General features: G+C 36.1%; 1 protein-coding gene across 1 annotated transcript; it reads right to left on the reverse strand.

Moving 5' to 3' along the window:
* Positions 1 to 648: 648 nt before the first annotated feature.
* Positions 649 to 10,775, reverse strand: MMP10 (matrix metallopeptidase 10). Its single transcript, NM_002425.3, has 10 exons — positions 10,634 to 10,775; positions 9,651 to 9,892; positions 9,360 to 9,508; positions 8,771 to 8,896; positions 6,759 to 6,923; positions 6,427 to 6,571; positions 5,335 to 5,468; positions 2,994 to 3,153; positions 2,159 to 2,262; positions 649 to 1,040 (listed from the first exon to the last, which is right to left on the reverse strand). Exons 1-10 carry the CDS (start codon positions 10,736 to 10,738, stop codon positions 940 to 942), a joined length of 1,431 nt encoding a protein of 476 aa, NP_002416.1. The 5' UTR covers positions 10,739 to 10,775; the 3' UTR covers positions 649 to 939.
* Between the last annotated feature and the right edge of the window lie 1,099 nt (positions 10,776 to 11,874).

Below are 11,874 nucleotides of genomic sequence, written 5' to 3' on the forward strand. Positions count from 1 at the left end.
TCATACTTTGCAACTATGACAAAGTCTGGCATTAAAATTAGTCAATAAAAGAAGGAACAAGTTTCTATAGTGTTGTCAGTATGGTGTAAGCATGTAACTTCGTGATGGTAAATCTGTCACAAAATTGGCATGTGCACATGCACTGTTATCACTCAGGGGTTTCCATGTACAAAATGGTAGCAAGAGAGTATTCTAACAGGAGGGTGAGGGTGAGGGGGAGATGAGAAATTTAGTCTCTAGAGCAAGAAAGGAATCCCACTGAAGAAAGATTTGGGTTAAAACAAGAGGTGAGTGGACTCCAAACTAGTTTTATTTCCCCACCTGTAAAATTGGAAAGTCTATTAAATAATATGCAGGTTCCCAGGCTCTAACATTCTAGAGTTCCATTTCTCCATTTTGTTTTGATCCTGCCTAGATACAGGACAACTGTTGATTTACCTCTTTCTTTGTTAGGTGTGTAAGGAACACTTACAATATCTGTGAGATGAAAAGAAAGATCCTGTTGGTGCAGAGAATAGGAGAGGGTATGTGACAGCCACATGACTAATTTATAGAGTGTGTGTTCCTACCACACCTACTGGCAGACTATCTGTCAAATAATCAGTCCCCAGTATGATCAGGGTATTGAACATGAATTGTTCTAGAAAGTAAGGAACAGGCCCAAAATAAAACTTTTTATTGAGGAAGTAATAACACATCTATGAAAATACATTCTCTCACCTATTGCACATGAGTATTTCTTAATTCTGTTCAGTGCAATTCAAAAGCAAGTGAAGAATTCCAGAAACATTCTTCATGACACATGCAGATATCTGCAAGGCTCATCTTCTTCAGTCACAGAACATGCAGGAAAAATTAACCATTTTGGCTCATAATACATTAGATGAATAATTATTAGATTTATTAAAAACACCCATATCTGTCTTCCCCCTATCTCGCCTAGCAATGTAACCAGCTGTTACTCTTTAATATGTGTGTCACCATCCTGGCATTGGGGTCAAACTCAAACTGTGATGATCCACTGAAGAAGTAGAAAAATCCTGTAAATATAGATAAGGAAAATGATGAGACATCTTCAAATATGTCATTTTGCAACACATATAACTTAGATTAAGTACAAGTTAATAATGGAGGGCATTTATTAAGTGATTACTCTATGCCAAGCACTGAGCTAAGTGCTTTACATGCTTTATCTCAATTACCCTTACAAAAAACTGTGATGTGTTATTAATGAGAACAAAACTAAAAATTAAGACGGTTTTGTAATTTTAACAAGGTAGCATCTGTAAGGAAGGAAGGAGGGAGGACTCCATCTCATCTGACTCCAAAGGAAGTGCTCTAAAACATTACGTCATACTGGTTCTAAAGAGATAAAATTCTATAATATTTTAAAACCTTGTTTTACTTTCTTTCCAACCTCCCCTCTTCTGCTAGGTTCTAAATTACAGTTTGGGAGACAACTAGACCCAAGAGAATCAGACAAATGATAAATGAGCCAGAGGTCCATTTCCTGCTTTGCATCCATCATGGTTAAGTCATTTTAGTAACAAGATCATCAGCCTCATGACCATTGGATTGTCAAGCACTGGCAGCTCCCTCCAAAATTCCTTCAGAGTAATCAAGAACAAGTTTTGCTTTCCTATTTGCCCATTACCAGGAATCACATTTGACCTATTTTGAGCATATGGGAGGACTAGTATTTTATTTACAAATGACTAATGCAGGCAATCGCAGACTGCAACAGAAGCCCAGACAAGGCTCCCCTGGGGTGGGATAGAAGAAAAGGGACAACAGGATGGGATAGAGTAGAATGACAACCAGCCATCAGTAAGCCTGGCTCACACAGATTGTATTTTTATACCAACATAGTGACCTGAAAGATAATGGCTTCTGTGTGAGGAAGTATCCTTTGATTTTATGTGCGGATATGAAACAGAGACTAGGAAGTTATTCAGGAAAACACACACACACACACACACACACACACACAAATTTAAACCCACTTTGCATAAATTGGAAAGTTAAGATTTTCAGGAATTTGGAGTAAAAAAGATATCAGACTGAATGATTTAAAAACTGTTTTGATTCTGCACTTTATTTTGAAATCATAAAAATGCCTGGAGATTCCTGCATGACAATGAAATAAGGGTCTTCTTACCAAATGCCTGTAATACAGCATCAACCTTAGGCTCAACTCCTGGAAAGTCATCAGCTATTAGTCTAGGGAAGCCTTGCTCCATGGACTGGCTATTTTCATCAAATCTAAACCAAATGAAAGAAATACAGTTCAATGATGTGCAGTAGTCCCATTACACACAATAGTATAATGTGATGTTAATTTTCCAGTGTGGAATCCTAGACAAACTTTTTAAGTTGTGTAAAAAAGTGTTAAACATTTTTAGAGCTACAAGAATAGGTTACTTTCCTGGGCTTACAAGTTTAACACATAAAACAATATTTTCCAGAAACAGGAACATTATGCCATTTTACAGAGGTTCCATACATATGTCTGAGGTAAATTTTCTAAGCCTGGACACACAGAAACCAAATTTCCCTGTGTCTACTATAAATACATAAAGACTGTGTAGACATAATGAATTCATAATGCAAAATTAATTAAATCACTTAGCTAAAAATAAACCTCTGGTTCTCAGTCACACTGGGACCCTGTAGATCCTGTCTCCAAAGCCTGCCACACCTGGGCTTCCTATGGCAGCCACATGGTGACTGGAAATGGAATAAGAGGTGAATGCCTTTGGACCTCAGCTGGCCTCTCCTGATGTCTTTTAGTGTCTGAGTATATGGCCCAGTGATCACCATTCTGAGAGGCCTTTGTATCCGGAAGGTAGAACAATAAGCTGTCTTCCTCATAATCATAAATTTTGAAGTTAGAGAAAGTTAGAGGGTGGGTGTAGGGTAGGGAAATATCCTTAAAGAAAGAAAATAATTTTCTTAATCAGGCTTCATAGAAAGTCATTTCTCTTGCATCTCACCTCCAGTATTTGTCCGCTGCAAAGAAGTATGTTTTCTTCTTTTCCTTGTCAGAAACAGCTGCATCAATTTTCCTTATGGTTGGAGGAAAACCCAGGGTATGGATGCCTCTTGGATAACCTGCTTGTACCTCATTTCCTCTGATGGCCCAGAACTCATTTCCTATTGAAAAAATAAATCCAAGACATTTTACTTGAAGCCATTGATTTTAAAAATAATTATAGTGCATTGTTGTGGTAAAGAGGAAGGCTTGGTTTTAATTCCAACCTAATAATGTCCAGTTCACAGCCAGTCCTTAATAAATACTCCCTGAATGAGCGAGTGAATGAATGAATGAATAAATGAGTAGATAACTCTGATTCACTGCCCTTTCTGTGTCTTATATATTTGTATCTATATGTTATAGTTTATTTATAGATCAGTTTTAGTTATTTCTTATAATTGTTGGTAAACTTTTAACCTGAATTTCTCACCTAGACCTCTCTCTCTTAAGTTTCATACCAATAGATCAGTTGCTTATTGGACACTTCCTTTGAGATATTTCACAGTCACCAATTCCAATCTGTGCTTCTTGTGAACACTATCGGAATTCATTCAAATTCTAGTGAGTTAGGACAATAAAATCCCATCAATCTCTCTGCATTTACTTTGTTACATCACTCTCCCAGACCCCAAGCCTGAATTCCTTCTTCGCACTCACTGCCAGATTCACTAATCTAAAATGTCCATCTGTTGTTTATCTCTCTTGCTTCGTCTGAACCGAATGACTTGTATCTGTCTGAGCAGTTCCAGATATGCTCTTACTTGGTAAAAACAATTTCTTCTTTCTTAAAGACCTTTCTACTTTCTGTACACCCAGCCCATCTCTGCACAACAATAGAGAACTTTAAGACCCATCCTAACATCACCTCCCCTAAGGGATCTTTGCTGAGTCCTGGGTATGAGTCAGGTGCTCCCATGGCACCCTTCCTTCTCTCAGTCCCAGCACTTGTCATATGTAGGCTGCCAAAGGCTTCATCTCTGCTGCCCCTTCTAGAATATGAGCCCTTTTCAGTCCTGACCTCCACCAATGAGAATGGCGTCTGACACAGTGCAAGTGATATGTAAATGTGAGATACATTACTTGATAACAATACGTTAGAGTTATGTAATCCTTTACAATTTCTACTGCAATTTCACATTCATTTGATCTTCACATAAGTGAGATTGCCAGAAATAAATATTTTTAAAATCTCCATAAAGCTTGACATTTAAAAATATTCCATTATCACCTATGAGTCTAGGGAAAAAATAAAAATGAGAAATTAAAGAATTAAAATTGAACAAAATGAAAATACTGCATATCGAAATTTGCTGGATGAAACAGAAGAAATGGTTATTTATAGGTATAAATGCTTGTATTAGAAAAGAAAAAAGTTACAAGTTAATAAGGTAAGTATCAAACTTAAGCTATAACAATAATAACAGGATCAATTCAAAGTAAACAAAAATTAAGGCAACAATAAAGATATGAACAGAAACTAATTAAACGGGAAATCAAAATATAATATAGAGAGTAAATAAAGCCAAAAGTCAGTCCTTTGAAAAGATCAGTAAAATTATTACATATATTATGAGATTGATGAAGAAAAAAGAGAAAGGCAAAAGGATTCAGTATTAAGAATGAAAAAGAAAACAAAACTTCAGCAATAATTCAAATTACAACAAAATAATTTTCCAAAAACTTTTTCTGATGGATTTGAAAACAGACAAAATTGGCAAATTTTTAGAAAAACATGTTAACAAAACTGACTCAAGAAGTAATAGAAACTCTAATAGCATATTACCAATAAAACAAATTGAAACAGTAGTTTAAAAGTCTGATAAAGAAGCCTCTATACCTGAATATCTCCATTAGTTAATTTATCTCTCCCTGCACTGATACTACATCTTACCGATTAAAGTTTTATAACACAGGGCTTTTCTCCTCATCTAATAAGATGGGTTCACCAGGAGCATCCTGGCTATTCTTGGCCTTTCCTCTGCCATATAAATTGTAAAACTAATTTGTCAAGTTCCATGAAAAATCTTTTGGCATTTGGTATTTGAAATGAAAATGTCTTGTATCTATAGATAAATTGACATTTTTACTATCTTGCATTTTTTATGAATATGGAATGCCACCTATTTTCTTAAGAGGTCTCTAAAATAAAGTTTATAATGTTCTTTGTACAAATTTTATTTAAGTGTTAGCACAAGGTCTTTCAGTAATCTAAACTTTAATATAATGGATAAAACTCATGTCAATAAAATTTTTGCAATAGGATTTATTCCAGCAAGTTGAAATTCTTATATAGTACTCACCTTTAAAAATAAAAACGGTGTCCCTGCTGTTAACTTCATATGCAGCATCCAAATATGATGGAAGAGAGGGCCAAAATGCAGAAATCAAATGAAATTCAGGTTCAGGGTTCCAGTGGGATCTTCGCCAAAAATATCTGTAATACATAAAATTACTTGCAATTGTCTTTCTCTTTTAGATATGTGAAAAAAAAATTCTTTTTTTTTAAATCCATGCTAATTCACCCATTCATAGAAGTCTGTATTAAACCATCCTCCTGCATGTGATTCCAGGGTAATGAAATCGATGGCAGGACTTGTGACTGGTTCCAGTAAAATTATTTAGCTTGGTTCCATTCTAAAAGTCCATAAACAGTGTGCATATTATGTCCTAATATTTTAAAAAATATTATGTGTATATTGATGCTTGTATATGAGTAGAACATTTTTGTAAAGAGTCAAAGGAAATTGGTAGCAGTGGTTGCACATATGAAGGGAGCTGGAGGACGGTAGGCCAAAGACTGGAGAGAGATTTTTTAACTCCGTATCTTTTGGTAGTGTTTAAATATTGTGCCACAAGCACATATCACTTTTTTCCAAAAGTAATTAATTTAAATAGTAGCATATATTAGTAAATGGAAAGATACCACCCTGCTTCTAAGGATCCACCAGTGCTTTCTGAAGAAGTTCCATGATATATGATATTTTAAAAAAATGAACGAAACAGATATAACTCCCTGCCTTAATCAAACTTACAGTCTAGGGACCAAGAATCATCCCTTATAAGTCTGTAAAAAATGATCTGGACAATTCTAAGAAGATGTTAAAAATTCAGCAAGAACTAGATCTGAATGATTTTAAAATGTAGAGGAAATTTTATATTTTAAAAAATCTCTGTCAAGCAGAAAAAGTAACTACTGGGTACTAGGATTAGTACTGGGGTGACAAAATTATCTGTACAACAAACCCCTGTGACACGAGTTTATCTATATAACAAACCTGCACATGTACCCCTGAACCTAAAATTAAAAAAAAAGCTCTGTCAAGTTTCTGTTTTTCTTTCTAAGCACTGTACATCAAAAGAATAGATAGGAAAATATAATTTTCTGGTCTGACCTGTCTTTAAAGAACAGATATTCTCCCCTCAGAGTGCTGATGGCATCGAAGGACAAAGCAGGATCACACTTGGCTGGCATCTCAGATCCCGAAGGAACAGATTTTGTGGGCACCAGGGGTTCCTCAGTAGAGGCAGGGGGAGGTCCTAAAGGAAACAGATTTGGGGATGCAAACATTAAAAAAAAATGTGATGCATCTGTCAATTTGTGTGCCTTTCAAACATTCTCAAAGTGCTTCAGGCCAAATCAGAAATACTTTAGGTAGCACTGGAAAGCTTTCTGGAGGACTGTCATTGTAGATCTGCAATGCCTAATTTTTCCAGCATCACTCACCGTAGAGAGACTGAATGCCATTCACATCATCTTGCGAAAGGCGGAACTGGGCGAGCTCTGTGAATGAGTTGTAGAGTGGGTACATCAAAGCTTCAGTGTTGGCTGAGTGAAAGAGCCCCAGGGAGTGGCCAAGTTCATGAGCAGCAACGAGGAATAAATTGGTGCCTGTATGAAAATCATAAATGTTCAGAATTCACCAGCTCTTTCTTCCATAAATACACATACAGAACATATGCCAGCTGTACAGGCCATCCTTGAAACCACAATGTCTTTTCAGTATTTGTGGATTGGTTCATTGATTGGCACATTCCATACTTTATAGAAATTAATGTGTTTTTCAAGGTTGACTTTAAGTCAATATATAAGACAGTTTTTCACCGTATCCCTCCCTAGATCCCTCCTTGGTCAGGAAAACTAAGACACTTTTCCTATATTGACAAATGAGAAGCATTATTTTCAAAAGATTTTTTTTTGAAAGGACAAGACTAATAGCATGTCAGTAAATATAACTCTTCGTTGTCTAAAAATAAAAAGTCATTGTTCAAATTTAGGAACACTTGCCAGTTGCAACCTTGGTTAAAATTAATCATATAACATTTACGTTCAAACTTTTAAGCCAGAAGACTGTGGTTATTTCTTGTGGGGTTTAGTCTGATTTTCTCTTCCTCCTCTTCATCATACTCAAGTAATTTTTTTTTTTGAGACAGAGTCTCATTCTGTCGCCCAGGCTGGAGTATGTGTCCAAGCGATTCTCGTGCCTCAGCCTCCTGAGTAGCTGTGATTACAGGCACGTGCTACCATGCCCGGCTAATTTTTGTATTTTTGTTGAGATAAGGTTTCACCATGTTGGCTAGGCTGGTCTCAAACTCCTGGTCTCAAGTGATTCACCCAACTTGGCCTCCCAAAATGCTGGGATTACAGGCATTAGCCACTGGTGCCTGGCCATAATCAAATAATTTTTGATTGTCAAAAATCTTCCCAGTAATAGGTGCCATTGGATGTGTACAATCTTTAGTTTAAAACAGAAACATGCCCAATAACAGTTTTCTGCAGCACAAACACAGCTAGATTCAGCTTTTTAAAAATATTATAAAAAGGGTTTTATTGAATTTAGTAGTAGATATTATTTAACCAAGGCTCCAAGAATTGTGCAGAAAAGAACAGTTGTTCAAATAAAAGGCAATCATTTCATGCAACACAAACTTCAGTCTCGTGAGACAGAGTCTCACTCTGTTGCCCAGGCTGGAGTACAGTGGTACAATCTCGGCTCACTGCAGCCTCCATCTCCTGGGTTCAGTGATTCTCGTGCCTCAGCCTCCTGAGTCTTGTACTCAGGAAAGATGTTCTTTGCATTTACATTAAAAATCCCAGGCACTGTCAGAAATAGTGATTATTTCAACAGTGTGTTTCTAAACTTCAGAAGCCATTTTAAAAATTAAATAGCATACAGTTAATTTTAGTCATTATGTTTAGATGTAAAGTGTTTCCAAGCCAATTTAGGGCGAAAAAAACCCATCTAAGCTAGAGACAGTGACATGTTTATTCGAAAAGATGACCTAACAGTTTTTTTTCAGTTCCTGGCATTTTCTCCTGATCTCTACTTTTAAGTAAAAAGGAGGCCAATGAGAAGAAAGAAAGAAAACCTGAGGGCAAATGTTAGGATTGGAACTGGTTTAATGGAATTCATTCTATCCTAATCATCTATCATTAAAGTGATGAAAAACATTATTAATTATGCTGATCCTCAAACCCCCACAAGATCCTGAGTTGTGGAGATGAGGTTGAATGGTTTTTACAATATTGTACTTGGTGGGGGCAAACATGAAAATACAGACATTTTATAAAATTCTTCAATAATGATTGAAACAAACAGTACTTCTGTTTAAAACTCAGGTAATAAAAAAATTCAGTTACTAGTATATTCGATTTATTGCTCGTTCTAGATAATCCAATTATTTTTGGGTAGGATTGGACATTATTCCTGAAATGTTCCCGAGAGGTTTACGACCCACCTGATGCATCTTCTGTCCATTTTTCATCATCATCAAAGTGAATATCTCCATAAAGCCCAGGTCCAGGTGGGTAGGCATGAGCCAAACTGTGTCCTGGGCCATCAAAAGAGTAAAAGTCTCCATGTTCTGATAGGGAACAAATTAATGGAAATATAAGTGTTCAGAATTTCTTTTTACCCTGTTCCAATTAAACAACAGTAGATTCTATAGTCTGAATGTTGGTGTCTGCTGCAAATTCATATGTTGAAACTCAATGCCCAATGAAATATAGTATTAAGAGGTTAGGTCTTTAGGAAGTGATTATGTCGTAAGTGCTCTGCCCTCATGAATGAGATTAGTGCTTTTATGAAAGAAGCTTGAGGGAACCTCCTGGCCCTTTCTATCGTGTGAGGACACAGAAGGTACCATCTATGAGGAATAGGCTCTCATCAGACACTAAATCTGCTGGCACCTTAATCTTGGACTTCCCAGCCTCCAGAATTGTGAGCAATAAATTTCTGTTGTTTATAAATTACCCAGTCTAAGGTAACTTGCTATAGCAGTCTGAACAGATGAATACACCAGATAAATGGATGCTTTATTTGATTACCTTTAACTGCAAAAGAGATCATTATATCAGCCTCTCCTTCATACAGCCTGGAGAATGTGAGTGGAGTCACCTCTTCCCAGACTTTCAGAGCTTTCTCAATGGCAGAATCAACAGCATCTCTTGGCAAATCTGGTGTATAATTCACAATCCTGGAGGAGAAAAATTGAAGAGGATGTTATTTTCTCCTGCCTTTATGAAAAATTGTTAAAGAAAACTTTATGTTACTTATCCAAATATGACGAGTAACTTATAAGGTTTCAATATTATGTGAAAACTAATCTGAACCATTACCTGTATGTAAGGTGGGTTTTCCTCCACTTCGGCATGCCAGGAAAGGAGCTGAAGTGACCAACGTCAGGAACTCCACACCTGGGCTTGCGCATCACCTCCAGAGTGTCAGTGTCTAGCTTCCCTGTCACCTCCAACCCAAGGAACTTCTGCATTCCTTGGATTTTTTTAACAATGAGATTACTGTCCTTTCTTCTAAACTGTTTCACATCCTTTTCGAGGTTGTAGTACTTTTCTAGGTATTGCTAATGGAAAATAGAATTTTTAGGGCATTTTTGTGATTTTCCATCATTTATCCAACTTTTATAATCCATCGTAATTTTCCTCTAGTTTCTTAAAACAAAAGAGGCTATCACATTTAATTTGATTTTTCATTAAGACTCCCCATTTCATACAAATTTTTAAATTTTATTGCAATGTTAGTTTGCTAGTCAAGTAAGGAATTGGGGATTGAAAATTCAAGTCTAGCATTATTTTTGTTAGTTTTTAAAGAAACCCTCTTTTAACATAGTTTTGTGAAAAGTTAGAATACTAACCTTTTCTACTTACATTGTTATTATAGACCTGGTTTAAGACTGAAGTGTGGTAAACTCTTTTGTCCAAATATGACAAGTAAAAATATGAAAACTATTACCTGATATGATTTAAAGATCAAACTTAGCATGCTCCCCTCCCCAATAATTTTAACTAAATAAATTCTAAAGCCAGAGGAGTTTCATATATTCTCCATATGTTCTTTTCACTTAGCCACAAATATACTGCTACTATTTTATTGTAACCTTGAGCAGTTATATTCCCTTTCTGAACCTTTCTTTTCTTCTCTGTTAACATAAAAATAATTTCCACCTCCAGCCTGTTAATTATTCTCTGATGCTACAGTTTTCTAACAAAGTGATCTCTAGTCTAATCATTCTGCTTTGTATTGGAAGACCAAGTAGACACAATTGAGCTGGCCAGTAGCTGCAATAGATGCCACCGTTAATTACCTGGGCAAGATCCTTGTTGGAGTCCTCCTCTTTTGCTGCCCCACTCAGAGGATAGGCAGAGCAGACTGGCAGACACAACAGCACAAGGAATGCAAGATGCATCATTCTCACTGCCCTTACCTTCTTTGTCTACTGGGCTTCTAGCTCTACCCCCTAGTGGCCTTTCTTTTATACAGAGACAATGCTGAGATCACCAACAGTATGATTCATGCATGTGTTTTTTAAGTCTGAATGTTCACAAACATTTAATGTAATGGTGATACAGCCTACATCAGTATTTTCCTTCAACTTTCTAAACTTGAAAGAATGATTAATCCCCAGGAAATGATTTCTGTGTTTGTAAAGACGAAAAAGAATTGGCTAGATAATTCACGTCTCTGTATTTACTTAAAGAGAGCTGACAAGCTTGGTAAAATGCCAAATGTTTTGACATTTTAAAATCAGTGCAATTTTCTTTTAAGAAGATTATGTTTTAAACTTAAATATAAGCAGGTAAGAATTAAGTAGGTCAACGGAAATAAATTCCAAATATAGTCGTGGTCTAAATGTGGGAGTTGTTATTTACAAAGATATTAAAACAAATATTTCACTTCTTGAGTCCTTGTTTACAATAGCTATTATTGATTTTCAGATGGATTTACTGGCCGTGGAGTAGGGGTATTGTGAGAAGGACATGGAGCATGTAGAGAAAAGAATCCAAAGAGAGAAGCTTTGGTGTTCACTCATTCTCCATTTCCCAGTGTATAATTATGTTCAAAGTAACTGCTCCATAAAACTTGTTAAATGGAAAAAATTAAATTGCATGTTAGACTGAAATGGTCCTCCTACCCTCTTCCTCTTCTTTGCTTTTAAAAATTCTTTTCCCCCTTTCTTTCTCCTCTTAAGGTACAAAGGAGGAGATGGATTGAGATCTGTAATGGGAAATGATTTCAAATCCTCCCTTTCTTTCACATGTCTAACGATCCACCCCTGCCCACAAATAGTATTTTCTTTCTTGTTTTCTCAGCCAAATAAAGTGCTTTTTACGCAGTAACACAGTAAGTCTGCAATAACTGTTTTGTCAAATTAACCTGTTAATATAAAGAACCCTGAAATTCTTATAGTAAAGAACTATATTTTTCTCTCACTAAAGATAAATTAACTCTACCATGTCTGAAGTACATAATTGCAAAGTGATGAGAGATTAAAATAATAAGTGTGTAGGAATGATCTTTTCAGTATCGCCCACCATCCCCACCCTA

Source organism: Homo sapiens, chromosome 11 (assembly GCF_000001405.40).
Source record: "Homo sapiens chromosome 11, GRCh38.p14 Primary Assembly".
In the NCBI taxonomy this organism is placed as follows: Eukaryota; Metazoa; Chordata; class Mammalia; order Primates; family Hominidae; genus Homo; species Homo sapiens.